The sequence below is a fragment of the Homo sapiens genome, chromosome 4 (assembly GCF_000001405.40).
Source record: "Homo sapiens chromosome 4, GRCh38.p14 Primary Assembly".
NCBI lineage: Eukaryota > Metazoa > Chordata > Mammalia > Primates > Hominidae > Homo > Homo sapiens.
The window spans coordinates 160,523,239-160,544,149 of record NC_000004.12 but is presented as its reverse complement, the minus strand read 5'-3'; the positions used below and the strand labels follow the sequence as shown (position 1 = coordinate 160,544,149).

The window sequence follows — 20,911 nt, the reverse complement described above, 5'->3', positions numbered from 1 at the left end:
TGGCAGCTTCCATGTGGTGTTGAGACTGTGAGTGCACAGAAGTCAAAAACTGGGGTTTGGGAACCTCTGCCTAGATTTCAGAGGATGTATGGAAATGCCTGGATGCCCAAGCAGAAGTTTGCTGCATGGGGCAAGACACTCATGGAGAACATTGGCTAGGGCAGTGTGGAAGGGAAATGTGGGGTTGGAGCCCCACACACAGTCTCCACTGGGGCACTGCCTAGTGGTTCTGTGAGAAGAGGGCCACCATTCTCCCGACCCCAAAATGGGTTTATCCACTGACAGCTTGCACTTTTTGCCTGGAAAAGCCACAGATGCTCAATGCCAGCCTGTGAAAGCAGCCAGGAGGGAGGCTCTACCCTTCGAAGCCACAGGGGTGGAGCCACCCAAGACCATGGGAACCCATCTCTTGCATCAGCATGACCTGGACATGAGAAATGGAGTCAAAGATCATTTTGGAGCTTTAAGATTTGACTGCCCCACTGGATTTTGGACTTGCATGGGGCCTGTAGCCCCTTTGTTTTGGCAAATTTTTCCCATTTGGAAGGGCTGTATTTACCCAATGTCTGTATCCCCCAATGTATCTAGGAAATAACTAATTTGCTTTTGATTTTACAGTCTTATATGCAGAAGGGACTTGCCTTGTCTAGGATGAGACTTTGGACTGTGGACTTTTGAGATAATGCTGAAATGAGTTGAGACTTCGGGGGACTGTTAGGAAGGCATGATTGGTTTTGAAATGTGAAGATATGAGATTTGGGAGGGGCCGGGGCAGAATGATATGGTTTGGCTCTGTGTCCCCACCCAAATCTCATCTTGTAGTTCCTATAATTCCCATATGTTATGGGAAGGAGCCAGTGAGAGGTGACTGAATCACGGGGGTGGGTTTCTCCCGTACTGTTTTCATGGTAGTTAATAAGTCTCTACAAGATCTGATGGTTTGATATGGGAAAACTGGTTTGCCTGGCTATCATTCTCTCTTTGCCTGCTGCGATCCACATACAATGTGACTTGCTCCTCCTTGCCTTCTGCCATGTTTGTGAGGCTTCCCCAGCCACGTGGAACTGTAAGTCCAATTAAACCTCTTTCTTTTATAAATTACCCAGTCTCAGGTATATCAATCAGCAGTGTGAAAACGGACTAATAAACGTAGTTGGAGTTTTCAATCAGGTTTCTAAAATGATATATGATATATTGAATAATCATTAAGAAAATTTCAGTGGAAAATAAATCATAATAGTCAGCTCATAACTAGCAACTTTCACAACTTGTTGAAACTACCAAACATCTACCTGCATGGTGTTTCAGAAATTATTTTAGTGACCTCGGTATTTCTAAGATAAATTTGCTGTTCATTATGTCTCATTCATATTAATGACAAAGAAGAACATGAAGAGCTTTCGTTTTTGCATTCGTTATAAATTATATTCCATTCTCTTTCATTATAAGGATAATGAAACATTTCTGGCGATATAATTCATGGTCATTTCACTTTTTGTGTGTTCTCAAAGTCACTTGCCTATTGCATGGTTGTTACAAGAGTACCTATCTCTTGGGTCATGTCTATGGAGCTCAATCATATGCAATTATGCTGTGCTATTTGAACCATTATTGCCCTTATATACCTTATTATTCCATATGTAGCACCACAAGATGATTCAAAATTTCAGTTATTAATATGTCACTTCAAACGTGAAGTTTACACACACACAAACACTAAATATGTATGAATGCATGTATTATTTACATGAAAACAAATTGAAATATTATCCATATTTGTAGAATGACCTTATTTACTGTATGTATCATACAACATATTAAACCTAACCATGATGAGAACTTTTTTCACATAATAATATAAAATAAATATTATTAAATTATTTTAGTAAAATTAATTTGTTACCTAGTTGTACTACAATTTTTCTTTCAAATAGAAAACAATGACAAGATAAAATACATTGTACTTTGTGCCTCAAATATAATTATTTTCACCAAAGCAGAAGTAAAGGTAGGAAGAAAAAAATATATACACACTCTCAGTGCTTTGAATTTTCCTGCCTTATGAAAAAAAAAGGAAAAGAAGCATTCACTGAATGCTTACCTTACTGCATTTTTTTTCATTTAATCCTTAGGACCATTATGTGATATAGTTGGTAACCCTAGAACAAAGATGAAAAATAAAATCTAAAAACACCTTAAAAACTAAAAACATGGGGCCACAAAGGCAATAAGAAACACATCTAACTTATCTAGCTATGGATTAACAGACATTGAATATAAAATTAGAATATTACCTAACTCAAAATTCCCATGTTTTTTACTATTGATGACAAAAATAGTCAAGCTCTGTAAAATATTTGAAGATATTTATTCTGAGTCAAATATGAGTGACCCATGACCTATGACAGGGATCCCCAACCCTTGGTCCATGAGCCAGTATTAGTCCATGGCCTATTAGGAACTGAACCACACAGCAGGAGGTGAGGGGCATGCAAGTGAAGGAAGCTTCATCATCTCCACATCACTCACATTACTGCCTGAGAGCTGCCTCCTGTCAGATCAGAGGCAGCATTAGATTCTCACAGAAGCCCAAGTCCCATCGTGAACTGCACACAAAAAGGATCTATGTTGCATGCTCCTTATGAGACTCTAATGCCTGATGATCTGTCACTGTCTTCCATCACCCCCAGATGGGATTGAAAGGGCCTTTACAAAATTATGACTGAGACAGTGAAAGAAATCTAACTTAATTGACTGCATCTTGCTTCTAACCTCTAAGCTGTCCTTGTTCATTCCTGGGCATAGGCTGAACTAACTTTGGGAGAAACCTAGTTTATAGTTTAAAACGAAGAAGATAACAGCCCTTTCCCAAATCTTGCCTGGGGACTAGATTGTCTTTGCCGCACTAACATTAGCAACAAGATTAGAAATTATGGTTTTGCAGTCATGCAGCTGGAGGCTACAAGATTCTGACCCTCCCTAAACTGCTCCTAAGATCAGTACTTGAGACATTTTGCAGAGTCTGCATTTGATGGATCAGCTGGCACCACCCAGATTGATGAACTGGCTCATCTGATCTTGAGGCCTCCACCCAGGAACGAGTCAGCGCAAGGAGACAGCTTCCACTCCTTAGGATTTCATCCCTAACCAATCAGCACTCCTGCCTCATTGGCTTCCCCTGCCCATGAAGTTGTTCTTGAAAACTCTGCTCCCCGAATGCTTGGATAGACTAATTTGAGTAATAATAAAACTCCAGTCTCCCACACAGCTGCTCTGTGTGAATTATTCTTTGCCCATTGCAATTCTTCTGTCTTGTGAAATTGACTCTGTCTAAGCAGCAGGCAAGGTGAACCCAGTGGGCAGTTACAGGGCTATCTAGTTGCAGGAAAACAAGTTCAAGACTCCCTCTGAATTTACATTATGGTGAGTTGCATAATTATTTCATTATATCTTACAATGTAGTAATAATAGAAATAAAGCATACAATAAATGTAGTGTGATTGAATCATCCCCAAACCATTCTCACCCCCACAGTCTGTGGAAAAATTGTCTTCCATGAAACCAGTCCCTCGTTCCAAAAGGTTTGGAGCTGCTGGCCCATGACACAGCCCTAGGAGATCCTGACAATAGGTTCCTAAGATGGTCGGGCTACAGCTTGGTTTTACACATTTTAGGGAGATAGAAGACATCAATCAATACATGTACAAAGTACATCGGTCTGGTCCAGAAAGGCAGGACAACTAGAAGTGGGGACTTCCAGGCTATATGTGGATACAAATATTTTCTAATTGGCAATTGGTTGAAAGAGTTTTTATCTAAATATCTGGAATCAATAGAAGGGAGAGTCCAGGTTAAGATAAGGGGTTATGTAGACCAAGGTTCTTGTAATGCAGATGAAGCCTCAATGTATCAGGCTTCAGAGAGAATAGATTATAAATTTTCCCCATCAGACTTAAAGAGTCTATTCTATCAGTCTTAAGGTCTCTGTTTTGATCTTAATGCTGGTCATTTGTACCTGAATTCCAAAGGGACTAGGGTATACCCATCATGATCTGAACTAGTTTTTCAGGTTAACTTTGGAATGCCCTTGGCCAAGAGGAGGGTCCATCAGTTGGTTGAGGGGCTTAGAATTTTATTTTTGGTTTACACTATATAAACTTTGTTATGAGTATACCCTCAAAAAAAAAGACAAAAGAAAAACAACGGTAATGTGAGAATTGTTGTAATCTAATATTTCAAGTCCATTTGTGTTGCTATAACAAATGCTATAGACTGAGTAATTTATAAATGACAGAAATTTATCGCTCACAGTTTGGGAAGCTGAAGAGTCCAAGATCAAGTTGTCAGTAGATTCATTGTCTGGTAAGGGCTCTTTGCTTCATAGCTGGCACCTTGTTGCTGCATTCTCACACTGTAGAAATGGCAAATGAGCTGCCTTAGCCCACTGGTTACTTAATGGGATGTCCCCATCAGTGTATCACCTCCCACAGGACTTACCTCTTAATGCCATTAACTTAAGGTTAAGATTGCAACATAAAAATCTGAAGAGGACACAGATATTCGGACCACAGCATTTATTACTTCATTTGATTTTCTATTGTTGAAAATATATTCTAGGTAGTTTTAAATATATATGTACATAGTTAAGATTTTTTTCCAAATAATACTTAAAAAGACAATAAACTTTCTCTGATGTAGCTTGTTTTAATGTACGGCAGATATTGACACTTAAGATATTTAAAATGTGTGAATTGTATTACATTTAGAAATAGAGAAAGTATAATAGTTCTTAATTTCCTGTATCTTGGAGTCAAAGAGTTCTGAGATAAAGCCTAATTCTGATATTTAGTGTATATAAAGCTCTGAGCAGTTACTTAACTTGTCTAACTCAATTTTGTCATCTATAAAATGGGTTTAATATAAACTATTTCCTAAAGTTGCAGAGAGTTTCAGTGATTTAATACATACAAAGCCTCTAACATATTATTTTTATTATTAGCAGTAAAAATAAAAGCTGTAAGTTACAAATATATTCAGTCAATTAATATGCAAAAATACAATGGGTTCAACCTGAATAAGATAAAATTAATGGGAAAATTGTTTGATGTATTTCTTCTACATACGAATTTACTATATTTTTCAATATAAATGGAAATGAATTTTTAAAAATCATGTTAAAGAATTTTATACATCCATAATCAAAGAACATAGTTAGCTTAACAACTAGGTAGAACAAGGTAACTTAACAAGGTAACTTAACAAACTTTCCAAATATTTGAAATTTCATCAACAAGCAACATTTTGAGATTTTATTTTTATTAATATTTTAGAAATATGGAGCTTCATTTGAAAATACTCTCTAGTATCATCTTATGCCAAAATGAATTGTACAATAACGGGGTGTTAAGGAAATTTATTCATTTATATAATGGAAGTTTATTTACAGCATTAATCTATACTTAAGAAATTATATATCATGTGCTATACATGCATGGACTTGTAATTAAATGATTCTAATTTTTCTAACCCTTTGGCAAAAGATATATCCATATTTTTTTCTGTTTATTTGGGAAAAAGTTCATTCTCTTTAGCTAGAATATTTTTAACATTTAAGGTGAATTAATTCAGAAACTTTTCTACCTACATAGACACTTTCAAATATGTTACATCATATGCAATTCCTTTTAAACCCTCTAAATCAAAGTAACTCAAAGCCATAAAAGCAGTGCTCTCTAGAAATGCATTACGTTTACAGACATTAATAAGGCATACTTATTTTTCTGATATATGAGATGCATTAGAATAAGAACAATAAAAAATTATTCAGCTTCTGCTCATAAATGGTCCACAGATAGCACAAACATTGCAAATAAATGCAAATCAAAATGCAGTTACAGAAGATGGTGATGTAGTCAACAAAGAGTAAATGAAAAGCCTTAGGATCCAAGAGATAATTATGGACATTTATCCTTGGTCAAGGTAGAAAAGTCAGAGGGATTCACATTAAAATTTCTCAAGATTGTTTTCATTATAAGCCCTGAATGGCTTACAAGAGTATACATTGATAAACAGAGGTCTAGGCTTTAGGTTAGCTGTCTAGCAATTTCAAAATTCATTTTTTTTTCTTCTCGTTTTGAGCTGCTGATTTTTTGGTAAGAAAGAGTTCGGATTAGCAGTACGTGCATTCCTGTGACTGCGTATGAGTATTTAGTCAGTCATAGGCATAATCTCTCAAATTGTACCTGTTATTTTAATGATACTATGTTTGACTGTAATTTTGAAATTCAAAGACCAAGAGTAGAATTTCAACCACAGCTGAGTCATGAATTAATCAAACAGAGGGGGAGGAAAAAAATAATGGATGTTATGACTTCCAATTTTAGTCGACATCTAAGGAACTTTGAAGTTGTCACATTTGTCCTTAAACCAAGAAAAAACTGAACAAACTGAAACTCAGTAACTCTTCTGAGAGCTATCAGAATATTTAGGTCATAGGGCAAACTAACACCACTAAGATGGAGATCCCAGAGAATACAGAGACCCACCTCTGAGATCAGCTTATCTGGATTAAAATCCTTTAGAGCTATAAACTGGTAGGAACACTTAAATGGTAACTGAGACTCAGTGCTGGAGGCAGAGTATGGACTAGTGTGAAAGTGAGAATTTTCTGGAACTCTGTCTTAGGTTTTTTCCTCCAATCTTTCATGGGCTTTTCCTCCAGTAACCCCACCTGTTTTCACAATGAAAAGGGCCAAGAATACTCTTGGGAAAAGTAGTCATTTTTGAATAAACCCTCAGCACTCTTTGTGGCAAAGGCCCACTGAACAAGGTCAAAGACATTGGAGAAGCCTTACCCAATTCCAACCCCTCTAGCCTTACTTTCTCAACTAAGGTGGGGAAAAATAACTGAAAAATATTTGTGAAGATTAGGACCAGTAATACAGGGCTACTAAAGACTAAGATTTATCATAGTATTACAGAATGCTTCTCTCCCATACCACCATATCACCACATGAACACAACTCCAGTATCATAGCAGCATTTCAGCTGCTGATACAGCTGAAAGAGCTGCAAAAAGCAAAATTTATTTATAAAAATAAGTTTTTAGGGAAACCTAATGACAATAAAGAAGAAAAAAAGTATGTAAGAAGAAATTAAGGCCTCTGACACCTACTGCTACAGCAGAAATAAAACACAGCCTAAGTCCTAGCCAGAGTAACACAAAACCCACACCAGAGGGCTATTTAACTTAGTTCTCATTACCAGATACATCATGCTCAGCTTTCAACAAAAAGTTATAAAACATGCTAAAACACAAGAAAATTCATAGCTTGAAGAGAAAAATAAAGCAATAGAACCAGACTCAGGTACAACAGGGATTTTGAAGTCATCAGATTGGGGATATAAATGGACTAATTTTAATATTTAATGCTCTATGGAAAATGTAGACAGCCTGCAAGAACAAGAGAGGTAGGAGTTCCACAAAAGAGTCACAAGGAGATGCTACAAAAACAAACAAAAATAACCTGTAACAGAGATGAAGAATGTGTTTGATATACTCATCAGTAGACTGACCACCACTGAATTGGTGTCCTTGAAATATTAGTAGACATGACTAAAGTTGAAACACAAAAATAAAAACAAATTTTAAAATATAGAACAGAATATTCAAAGACAGTAAAACAATTGCAAAAGGTATCATCTTCATAATGGAAATACCAAAAATAAAAGCTAAAAAAAAAGAAAGGGAAAGAGAAATAAGCAGAGGAAATATTTTAAGTAATAATGGGTGAGATTTTTGCAAAATTAATGCCAAACCAAACCATGGCTGGAACTCAGAGCACAACCAAACAGGGCAATTACTAAAAAATCTTCACCTGTGTATAGTATAGCAGGTTTAAATTACAAAATAAATAAATAAATAATAATAGAGAAAATAAAAAATGTTAAATCAAATAGAGGAAAAAAAACTTAGATATAGAAGAACAAGGGAAAGAATTATATTACACTTTTCTTTACAAGCATTGCAAATAAGAGAATTGAGCACAACTCTACCAACTTAGAATTCTACATACAGCAACATTATTTTTCAATGTGAACAAGAAATAGACCTTGTCACACAAACTTTAAAAAACAGATAATTAACTGCCAATTTAACTTCTCAAATTTCTTGCTGTGCAAAAAATGGTTGGAAAATCTTCAGAGGAAAGAAAACAATATAGATCATAAACTCAGATTGATTAAAGAAAGAGAATCAGAGAAGGAATAAAGAAAGATAAAACAGAATATTTTATTTTTCTAATATTTTGTTGATCTAAATGACTGTTGAAATATTAATATCAGTAATATACTACATGATTATGTCATATAAATAAATGATAAATAAATAAAGTGAATGACAACAATGTTACAAGGAATGGGAGAGAGGAATTGGGATTACTCCCTGATAATATACCTTAATTACACATGAAGCTTAATATATTATTTGTGAGTGGGCTTTGATTGGACATGTATACTGCTAATTCTAGGGTAAGCACTAAAAAATGTTATAATAGAAGTAAAGTTGACATATTAAAAAAGAAGATAAAATGCAATCACATAATAATGCACAACTCAAACCACAAAGAGAGAGAAGAAGAAAAGAGCAAGTGTAATGAATTAGAAAAATTTCAAAGATGGTAAATATTAATGTAATAATAGCAATAATCAATTTAAATATCAATGGCCTAACTGTATTAATTTAAAAATAGAGACTAGAAGACTAGATTTAAAAAAATTATCCAACTCTATGTTGTCTAAAAAAAAACCCTTAAATAGACAAATTATAAATAGGTTAAAAGTAAAGGAATAAAAGAAGATATTCCATGCTAATATTAATAAAACAAAAAGCTAGACAAACTATTAATATTAGACAAAGCAGAGCAGATTTTAGAAAACAGAAAATTATCAGCAAGGATGTTTCATAATCAAAACAGGGTTAGTTCTTCAAAGAGACATCATCGTTCTTAACATGTATACACCTACCAACAGAGGTGAAAATATCTGAGGCAAAAACTGATGAAACAGCAAGGAGAAATAGACAAATCCATGATTATGCTTGAGGATGAAATAACCCCGTTTCAGAAATTGATACATCAAGCAGGCAGAAAGTCAGTAAAATATAGTTGACCTGAGTTGCCCCTTTAATCAACTTGATTTACTTGGTATTTATAAACAACTTCACAAATAACAGCAGTAGAATGCACATGTTTCTAATGATTATATGTAACATTTACCAAGAAAGACCACATTCTGGGCCATAAAACGTACTTAAAAGAAGTGAAAGAATAGAAATCATACAAACTATGTCCTCCGACCACAATGGAATTAAATTAGAAATCAATAACAAAATAATAGCTAGAAAATCCCCAAATATTTGGAGATTAAACCACATACTACTAAAAAAAAAAAAACACAGATTATAAGAAGTCTCTAAAGAAATTTTTAAAATACTCAAAACTAAATGAAAATAAAAATACAACTTATCAAATGTTGTGGGATACATTGAAAGCAGTGTTCAGGAGATAATTTAAAGCACTGGATGTAGGTATTAATGTTTCTTTTTTATTAAATAGGTACTATTCCATTTTGGAGGTTCAAATTAAAAAATCAGTAAAGTATTTTGAATTCAGTCTAAGAAATATATTCAAAGGACTTCTTCCCAAAATAATATTTATCTAAAAATGAGGTTTGTTTAGAAAATCAGGAAAAAGACCAGACTCAAACTGGATTGGTAGAAAAGTAAACTAAAGCAAAAGAAAACTACAATTATGTATTTAATTATATGTGATTATTATATGTAATAATTAGTATTACATATTCTGGTTAGGCTGCTGAAAGAGACATAGCAATCTTTGGTGAAGTTCTGGATAATTATAAAACATAAATCTAGGTATTGACAGTCATTCTAAGGACCTAAATGAAAGATACAAGTGTTAAGTGTGAAAAATGTTTCAGAGTAAATAGAACAGAGAAAATGACTGTGATTCAAAAATATCTAACACAGAGAATGAAAAATACCTGAAAGTGCCATAGAGTAATTTCCAGAAAGATTCCAAATTTTATTGAGAGCATCTTTTTTAAAAAATATCTTTTTCATATGGGGTCTTGCTATATTGTCCAGGCTGGTTTCCAACTCCTGGGCTCAAGCCATTCTCCTGCTCGGCCTCCTGAGTATCTGGGGTTACAGGCATGCTGTGACCATACCCAGTGGTAGATAATCTCTTAAAGCAACAGATGAAGATTTCATAATAAGAGCTAATAGAAAATAATCATTTAAAGTTTCAAAAACTTAGATATGCTTGAGAAAAAGAGATCCATCAGCAAAAAATACTTGACCACTATTGGTTAAATTATACTTCCATTATTTTAAGTATAATGCACAATGCTGTAGGTATAATATAGATAACTTGTATCCTCCCTGAGCACATGCCCATGCAATGAATGAACTTAAGATCTGAATTGTCTAGTTCAGCGGATTCAAGCATATATTCAAATCATAATAAGAAATAATTTGTTACAGCCATTCATGAGCAGATGCATATCAAAGCACAGCTATTAAAATGTGAGAGTTAATTCTTTAGAAGTTTCATCATATATGAAAAAGAAAGGCGTATCTATTGCTTCAAAATATTAGTTGTTTTACAAAACTGAAAATAGCTCTTACGAATGTTGTGATTTTTATCTTGGATATCCAACCAAATAGCATAATCCATAACATGTGTAGGATTTAATTAGCTTTACTTAATTATTTCTGGTCATTAAGTTAACACACAAAAATCATAATAATTAAAGTTCAGTAATAAAATATGATGTCTTATTACATTTTATGACTAATTAGTTTTTATTTAAATATAAAATATACAATGGAAATTGCATATGGATATAATTTGTTCAAATATATTATAAAAAGATACCCTGTTTGCACAGCAACAAAACTTGTGTTTTATAGTACTTTGTGTAAATTACTAATCAGGAGAAATTGCTTGTGTACAGTGCAAAACAGATTTCAAAATTGTGTTTTACCACTCCAAATAATGAAGTGTTTTCTACTGAATAAGAGAAACTTCTAAATCTATATTTGATATCAACTTCACTTGAGTTCTAAAAATGTGTATTTTATTTCTCAAATAGTTGCCATATTTTGATTTCTACAGTGCTCATAACAATCATGAACCATTAACTTTTCCAATAAATATTTAAATCTAAATGAAAGTTTTCTACATTTTACAAAGTAAATACAAACGAAGATGTGACTATAGTGAATCCAACTATTGAGATGGAAATTCTTCATAAGAACTTCAGGATTTGTTTAGAGCTGTAATCACAAGCTGGAGTTTTTTGGGGGGAAATATATAAACAATTTAAATTAATATGATCCAGTTTAGAAAATAAAGATAAATTTTTATAAATTTTTTTCAAAAAATGAATATGTTTATAAAGGCCTTAATAGAAATCAACTGTTTAAATATTTTCATGTGTACAGATCATTATACATTAACATTAAAACTGTAGTCACTTGAATATTAAACGTAAACATTTCTCTGAAGTTGTTACATTTCTTTGTAATACTGAAAATAATATATTTACTAAAAGATAAGGAGAAAAAAATCTCAATATATATTCTAGTTTCAGTTGAATTAGTTAACAGTCATGTCACAGCTGAAAGTGCAGAAATTTTCATAACACCAAAATCCAGAAAATGTCTCCTTCAAAAGGAGAGTAAATTAATAAATTGTGAAATATTTACACAACAGAATATACACCAATAATAATGAGTGAATTTAAATAATTCACATTAATATAGATGGATTTTTATAATATAATTATAGGGGAAAATACTACACAAAAGAATACTTATATAATGCTATTCATTTTATAAAGTTAAAAACAACCAAAGTATGCATGTGCAACTTAGGAATGAGTTAAAAATTCATCAAAACCAAATAAACTATAAAGCTTTTTAATGCATGGTCCCCCAACTTCCTTAAAGAGTTTGATTGTAACTAATTTAGCTTGTGGACTAAATGGTCTCCATTGCAATTATGCAACTCGGAATGCAAGCACGGACAATACAGACATAAACTTCATTTGTAAAGCAGATGTCCACCCTATAGGTTGTGGTTTGTTAACTCCTGGTCTAAAGCTGAGAGGAAGCAGGAGATGGGTTGGCAGTAGTAAGATATGTCTTACTTTCAATATCCTATCTCACATTTCGGATATGGTCTTTTGGGTGCCTATTTTATATTATTAAACTTAAATTCTTAACTAGACAAAAATGACCCATGCAAAAACTAATTTTAAAAATGGGTTATGAACACAGTATTATAAATAATCCAATTTTGTGCATTTGAGGTTCCATTTTTTAAAAGCCATCACGTAAAAAAGGAAAGTATGAAAAGAAGCAAAAAGCAGACAAGCTACCTCATATGAAAATGCTACCAAATGTGGTAGATATATTTTGTGTAGCTATTTTCTAATAAATTAAAAGAACTAAAAGAATTAAATTGACTTATGAATCAACAACACAAAACAGAAATAAAAATTCAGAGGCATAAAACAAAGAGAGAAAATAGGGAAATTTTAAAAAAGAGAGTGAGATAAAAACAAAGCTAAAAGAGCTTAGTACAAATAAGAAACAAAAAATAAAATAATCACAAAATGTAGATGAATTTGGAAAGAGCACAGACAGGATAAGATTCTACGGAAAACTAAGTAAAGCCAAGAAAGCTAAAACATCAGAAAGAAAAGTGAAATTAAAAAGTAATTAAAGAGTTTGCTCTTCAGTGATAATTAAGTTTCTCCTATCAGACATACCCTTCCAAAAATAATAACTAAAATCCTGAAAAAAGAACAAAAAAATTGTGATGGTTTTTTTGATATGTCTACTTGGTTACTCTAAAGTCCCTAGATATTCAATCAAAACTCTAATCGAGGTGTTGATTGAATGTATTCTACAGATGTAATTCAAGCCTCAAATTAGGCAATTTTAAGGAGGATTACACTATGTAATCTAGGTGGGCCTGATTCAATCAGTTAAAAGGATTTAAAGCCGGATGAGGCTTCCTCAAAAAAGAAGAGAAATTATGCCTGTGAACAGCAGCTTTGTCCTATTCCCCTAGACTTTCATCTTGCTCACACTCTCAGACTATCCGACTTGCTTAGTCAGTTCCCACAATCACATAAACCAATTTCTTGTACTAAATCTCAGAATATCTGCTACAACTCTGCTCTCTAATAGAAGCCTGATATCACCACAATGATAACAAATTATATACAATATATCTAAAAATACTGCAGACTGAACAATGCAGACGACTGTTGAAAGGGTCTCAAAACTTGAACCAAAATATGATAAACAACCTCATGATGACCAAGATTTTGGAATTAGCAAATAATAACTTTAAGTCAGCTATTAAAATTATGCTGAAACTCACTGAGGAAACTATGATAAGAAATGAAAAGACAAAACCCCTAGAATGAAATGGAAATTACAGTTGAACATTGAGTTAAAAGTGTAATATTTACAATTTAAAAACCACAGATTACAGGCTTTATAGCCAATTGGAGAAAGAATAATTTAGTGAGCTTGAAGATAGGCTTAGAGAGGTTATTCAAACTAATGTGCAGAAATAAAAACAAAACAAAAATAAATGAAAAAATTCTCAAAGCATCTAGAACAACATCAGAATGTTTTACTTATGGGTAGTTGAGTTCTCAGAACAGAAGAGAGATATTAAAGGGCACTATTTGAGAAAGCAATAAAAAATTTCTGAAATTTAGTGAAAGGTATAAATTCAAAAATCCAGGAAATGACGCTATCATTATACAGAAAATATGAAAAAAAACACACAAGCAAAACAAGAAAAAAATCCGCAAAACTCAGTTAAGCACACAATAATCAGACTGCCACAAACCAAAGATGATGAGAAAACTGTGAAAGCAGCCAGAACATAAAGATATCATACCTACAATATTGTACCAAATCTCTGAATAGCTCCTACTGACTTTGCCTCTCTGACAGAAGCCTGATATAACAACTATAACAATAACAAAATATATATGCAATCTATCTAAGAATGTTGGAGACAGAGCAATTCAGACAATTTTTATAAGGGTGTCAAATATTCAATAGATAAATTTCAATAACAACTGACTTCTCATCACAAATAATTGAGGACAGAGACTTGCTACAATTACTTTAAAGTGCTGAGTGAAAACAGCAAGAAGAAAACTCTGTTAACCCAATATTCTACATCCAATGAAATATCCTTCCAGAATAGAAGGAAATTAAAGAGATTTACTGATACAGTAAAATTGAAATAATTAATTTTCAGCAGATTTGTACTCTAAGAATATAAATATGGTAAATGCACCATTTCATAAAGGATGAGTATAGACTTACCTCTGTTGTTCAACATTTATTATTTTTGCATGATGTAGTATAAAGCCAACTCTAGTTAGACTGTGAAAAGTAAGCATGTATACGGAAATCACTAGAACAAATATTTTTTAATTACATGGTAAAAAAGTATATCTAAATATCCAACAGATAAATTAAAAGCAATATTTAAAATAACCTAACTTAAGACAGAAGGGGAGAACAATGGAACTGAAACCAGAAAAGGCTAACAGAAAAATGCATAGAAAACTTGGAGACTTCAATCCAACAGTTCGAAAATTACATTAAATATTATTTAACAGAGTATACCAACTAAAATGCAAATGTTGTCACAATAAATAAAAAAGTGAGACCCAAGTAATGGTCACCTAAAAATGCATTATAATAATAAAAATACACATAGGACAAAAGTACACATTCCGAGTTGTTATACCATGCAAATAGTAGACACATGATAGCTGCAGTGACCACATTAATCACAGAAAAATTATGTTAAAATACTACCTGAGATAAGAGGAGCACCTCATAAAAATTAAAGTTCAGTTCATCATGAAGACTTAACAAACATGATTGTACATGTGCCTAATAACAGAGCTTGAAACTACAAGAAAAAATATAAAATGGACAGAATCAAAGGAAGGAGGAGATATGTCCATAAATATGTTTAGTCATTTTACATATACCTTTTCTGGGCAATAAATGGAACTGGAAAAACAAATAAAAATATATATGGACCAACATTACCAAATACTTTGACCAAATTCAGATTTAAGAAATACTACACAATCACAGGAGGACTATTCTTTCTAGGGTAAATGGTATGTTTACAACAGGAACAATATATACAGGGTTTTTTTTCTTTATTGTTTTTTAGACGGAGTCTCGCTCTGTCACCCAGGCTGGAGTGCAGTGGCACGATCTCAGCTCACTGCAAGCTCCGCCTCCCGGGTTCACGCCATTCTCCTGCCTCAGCCTCCTGAGTGGCTGGGACTACAGGCACCCGCCACTATGCCCTGCTAATTTTTTGTATTTTTTAGTAGAGACGGGGTTTCACTGTGTTAGCCAGGATGGTCTCAATCTCCTGACCTCGTGATCCGCCCACCTCGGCCTCCCAGAGTGCTGGGATTACAGGCATGAGCCACCGCACCCAGCCTATATACAGTTTTAATGCAGTGCTCAGCTAACTTAAAAAGATAAAAATTATATAATGTTCCACTTCCATCTAAAATGTAAAAAACTTGAAAGAGTATCCTTTCCAACCATATGAGGTAGAAAGTCACATATACTATAGAGTCATAATGTTCTTGAATGTTCACAGAGTTTACATTGTAGGGTAACATAACAACAGGCTGAGCACAGTGGCTCACACCTGTAATTTCACTAATTTGGGAGGCCAAGGCAGGTGGATCACCTGACGTCACGAGTTTGAGACCAGCCTGTACAACATGATGAAATCCCATCTCTACTAAAAAATACAAAAATTATCTGGGTGTGGTGGTGGGTGCCCGTAAACCCAGCTATTTGGGAGGCTGAGGCAGGAGAATCACTCAAACCCCAGAGGAGGAGGTTGCAGTGAGCTGAGATCATGCCACTACAATCCAGCCTGGGCAGCAGAGTGAGACTCCATCTCAAATAAATAGATAAATAAATGAATAAATAAATTAAATAACATATCAACAACATATCAACAACATGTGTGGGAATGCTGTGAAGGTGATGTTTAACGATAAATTCCAAGCCTTAAATGCTTTAAGTAAAACTTTTGAAAATGTCTAAATCAACAAACACATTTCCAGCCTAAAAAGCTAAATAAAGAAGAACAAAGTAAACACAAAATAAAACAATGAAATGAAAATAAGACAATAGAGAAATGTAACAATGTCAAAAAGTGTCATTTCAAAAAGCTTAATTAAATTAATAAACCCATAACTATACTGATTAAGATTTTGGGAAAAGAGAAAATGTGATTTTTAAAATAACAGGAAGCAAGAGTATTCACTACATACATAATAGGTTTTAAAACAAAAAAAGTAAGAAAACTATTTAAATAATCTCAATAAATTTAAACAGATTGAAATCACACAAATTTTGATACAAAGAAATAAACTGTAAAGCAATAACAGAAATATATCTTGTAAAACATTTAGTACTACATTTATAAACTAAAAGTAAAATTTTATAATTTTTTAAGGTAGACTATAATAAGTTATAATTGTATATGGTAAAATATAGCACAGATGCTAAAAAAAGTATGTCTATGAGGCCACCACTAAAGATTTAATGCAGTAAAAATAATAAGCCAAAATAAGGCAAAAGGAGAGAGAGGAAAGTAAAAGACTTATAAGATAAATAGAAATATAAAAGATGATTAATTTAAATCTGATAATTAAATATAAATGTTACAAACACTCCAATTAAAAGGGAGAGACTGTTAGATTCAAAAGCCAAGAACCAAGCACATAAAATCCTATGAAAAAATCTTCAAATAATCTACAAAAAAAAATTTTATGCAAAACACAATTAAAGGAAGTTTAAAGATAAAACTGATGGGAAAAATTTTAGCCTGCAAACACTAAACAAAAGAAAAATAAAATGAGTGTATGAGTAAGAGACAAAGTAGGTTTTAGAGACAGGAATAAGGCCAGGAATAAAAATGGAGGGGCATTCTATAATACAAAGAGCAATTTATCAAAAAGACATAACAATCAAAAAACTTCAAAATACATGGAGAAAAAAACTGATAAAACAGAAAAGAGAAATTAAAAAATCAATAGATTAAGATATTTTGACATTTTTCTCTCTGTATAAAATGTAGCAAGCACATTAAAATGTAATAAAGATGTACAAGGCTTGAACAACACTATTAGTCAAATTGAACTAATTGATATTTATAGATCACTGCACCAAAGTTATAATATACATTTTTTAAGTACATGTTATATATTTACCAATATAGCTGATATTCTAGACCATACAATAATGTAAATAAATTCAAACAGATTGAAATCACACAAATTTTGATATAAACAAACTATAAAGCAATAACAGAAATATAGCTTGTAGAACATTTAGTACTACATTTGTAAATAATCCACAGACTAAAGAGAAAAACAAAAAGGAAATTAGAAAATATTTTTAACTGAATGAAACTAAAAATACAACGTATCTATATATTTGTAGGCCCCAGCTAAATATTTATATTAGAAAGACAGAAATTTGAAATCAATGACCTAAGCTTATACCTTGAACTAAAATATAGAAGGTGAATATCAAGTAAATCCAAAACAAGCAGGAGAAATAAAGTAGTTAAGAGAAGAGCAAAAGTGAAAGAAATTGACAAAACATTTAAAACAATAAAGACAAATCAGGCTGGGTGCCATGGCTCACACCTGTAATCCCAGCACTTTAGGCAGCCGAGTCAGAAGATGGCTTGAGTCCAGCATATCAAGGGCCTGGGCAACATATCAAGACTGTCTCTACAAAAAATAAAATAAATTAGCCAGGCTTGTGGTGTGCACCTGCAGTCCCAGTTATTCAGGAGACTGAGGTGGGAGGATTACTTGAGCCTGAGAGGTCGAGGCTGCAGCTAGCCACGATAGTGCCACCGCACTTCAGCCTGAGTGTCAGAGACAGACACCATCAAAAAAAAAAAAAAAAGAAGGAAGGAAGGAAGGAAAGAAAGAAAAAGAAAGAAAGAAAGAGAAAGAAAGATCAGTGAATACCAAGGCTATTGTTTAAAAAAGATCAATACAAATAAATCTCTAGCAAGAATGACCAAAACGGTGAGACAACACAGATAACAGCAATGTTCTACAAACATTAGATAATAATAAGGAAATATTACAAACTATTTAAAAAACATAAATTTAATAACTTACATGAAATGCACAAATTCCTTGAAAGATGAAAACTGGCCCAAGCAGAGTCTCACAAGTTTTGAAAACAAGGTGAGAAGGCCAAAGCTGTGTCCCTTGTGATGCTAGTTTGGATACTCTCAGCAGTATGAAGCCTGACTGTACTATTAAAAGTGATTAGATAAAGGAATTTTAATAGAGCTACCACCCCTAATAGTTTATTAGAGCTGCCATGACAAAATACCAAAAGACTGAGTAGCTTAAACAACAGAATATATTTATCAGAATTGTAGAGACTGGAAAATCCAAGGTCAAGGTGCCAGCAGGGTTGGTGTCTAGTTGAGGATGCTCCCTTTGGGCTGATATATTAGTCTGTTCTCACACCACTATACTTCCTGAGACTAAGTAATTTATAAAAGAAAGAGGTTTGGTTCACAGTTCCACATGGCTGAGGAGACCTCAGGAAACTTACAATTATGGTCGAAGGTGAAGGTGGAGCAAGGCACGTCTCTTCATGGCTGCAAGAGAGAGAGAAAGAGTGAGGAAGTGTCACTCTTTAAACCATCAGATCTTGTGAGAACTCCATCACTATCACAAGAATAGCATGGGGGAAACCACCCCCATGATCCAATCGCATCCCACCAGGTTCCTCCCCTTGAAGAGGGAGAAAAGGAAAGAGAGAGGGAAAAATAGAGAGCTCTTAGGTGTCTCTCCTTGTAAGGCAACTAATCTCTTCATGAGGCCCACCCTTATGACCTCATCTGAACCTAATTACCTTCAAAAGGCTTCATCTCCAGATCCCAAATAGCATCATATTAGGATTTGGGGCTTTAACCTGTGTTTGGGGGAAAGAGGGGTACATAATTCAGTCCATAGCACTTCCTAAAATCCTACAGCCAATAAGAGAGAATGAGAGCAGAAAGTGTGAGAAAACAGTGACCGAGAGGTAAGTAGCCTATTGGAAAGGGCTATGGCAGAAAGAAAGGGGTCTGGATGATAATTATTCTCTGGAATATAAAGGAAGGCAGACCAGACCCTGTAACTTAAACCCTTGTCAACATTAACTACCCAAGCACCCTTTCCTTGTCTGTCTTTTTTTCAGGCCTCGAGGTCTCCTTTCCTAGGTTGTCTATCACTCTGTCTTGATATTTTCATTACTGTCACAAAAATTTCAAACAAGCATCTACAAATCTTGGTTAGACTTGCATACGACTACTACTAGATGTAGGAGACATAGAATTTAACAGAGGAGAGCTGTCCAGAGAGTAGCCACATTTCAGTGCTTGCAGTGTGGTGGACCAATGAGAGAAGCAATGTCTTTTACATTTTAGAGACCAGACAATATCACAGGCTTCAATATTAAGAGTATAGCAATGCCAGGTGGAAGGGTGATTAGTCGATTAATGACCCAATCAAATAAATGTAAAAGTAGAAATGCCCTTTGCTTGCTGATTTGTTTCTATTATGTTTTTAAGATAAATATTTAATATGTATGCTTTTATCTCTCACTACAAGAATTTGAAATTACAAAAGAGGTAAATTATATTTTAAAACCTGTTTAATCAGTATTTATAGTAAAATAAATACTGTGTTTGGGGTTGCCAGATTTAGTAAGTAAAACACAGAATGCTCAGTTAGCTTTGATAATAGCTTGAAAATCTGAATATGAGACACTTACGGAGTCACAACAGAGTCATTACAAAACATAAGATAAAGGCATTAAATACAGGCCATGTTCTGTATATAGAGGATACCTGGCAAGTCTACTTATATCTTGTTCTTTAACTGTGCTCTCTAAAACCTTCCAAACCCAAAATGAATGATTATCACTAATTTTAAAAATAGAAAAAAAAATTCAGAGGCATTGTATCCTCCAACTGGCTAAGAATCTGTTTTTAAAACGTTATTATTATTTACACAATACCTGTATAAATGTGAAGCTGTAGTAAACAGAAATAAAGTACTTTGAAAAACTTGCTAATCCCGAGGGAGTCAGAAAGTAGTCTTGTCATCAATTACATAAAAGTATTTTTATTGTCTTTTAGATTTTGAGTAGGATAAATTGAAGGAATGTGGCCAAAATAGAAAAGTTGGCGGGGAGGCACAAGGAGGATTGACTTACTCCAAGCCATTCTGATTATATGAATTATAAAACCAAAAATATACTTGGTTTAAATCTTGGCTCTAGGAGAGTGAGGCAACATGACAAATAGATCTGACATTATTTGTTTTGTAAGCCATCGTGCATGTCAGAATTCCTGTGGCAAAAGCATAAAAGCTGAAGTGGACTTGGGACCACAGAAGAAAATAAAGTGTGCCTTTAGCATTGAGAATAAGTGAAAAGCAGACTTTCCATCTACCCTTTATTTCCACACTTGGGAAATAAGGCTGAAAGTACTTTATATGTGAGATGATAAGAGAGCCCTCCCAATGAGGGAGTCTCTTTTATAATTGCTCAACACATCTGGGTGTTACCAGCTGTCTTAAAGGTCAAGCTAACATTGGTCATAAAGGTTAAGAAACCAACAATGCTGGAGGTGGGAGGAACACAGAAAAAAATGTTTGTCATTAGGGAAAGGGAAACATTGAAACCAAAAAATTATACAAAGTTAAATGG

The 20,911-nt window shown here is 33.6% G+C and overlaps 1 long non-coding RNA gene across 1 annotated transcript in view; it reads right to left on the bottom strand.

Annotated features, from left to right (window-relative positions):
* LINC02477 (long intergenic non-protein coding RNA 2477) overlaps nt 1-20,911 on the bottom strand; it is a 34,676-nt gene that overhangs the window by 9,345 nt on the left and 4,420 nt on the right. Inside the window, exons 3-5 of the long non-coding RNA XR_001741914.1 lie at nt 18,767-18,812; nt 4,310-4,411; nt 2,102-2,159 (exon numbers count right to left, since the gene is read on the bottom strand). This is a non-coding gene — a long non-coding RNA (long intergenic non-protein coding RNA 2477). The remainder of the gene's footprint in view (nt 1-2,101; nt 2,160-4,309; nt 4,412-18,766; nt 18,813-20,911) is intronic.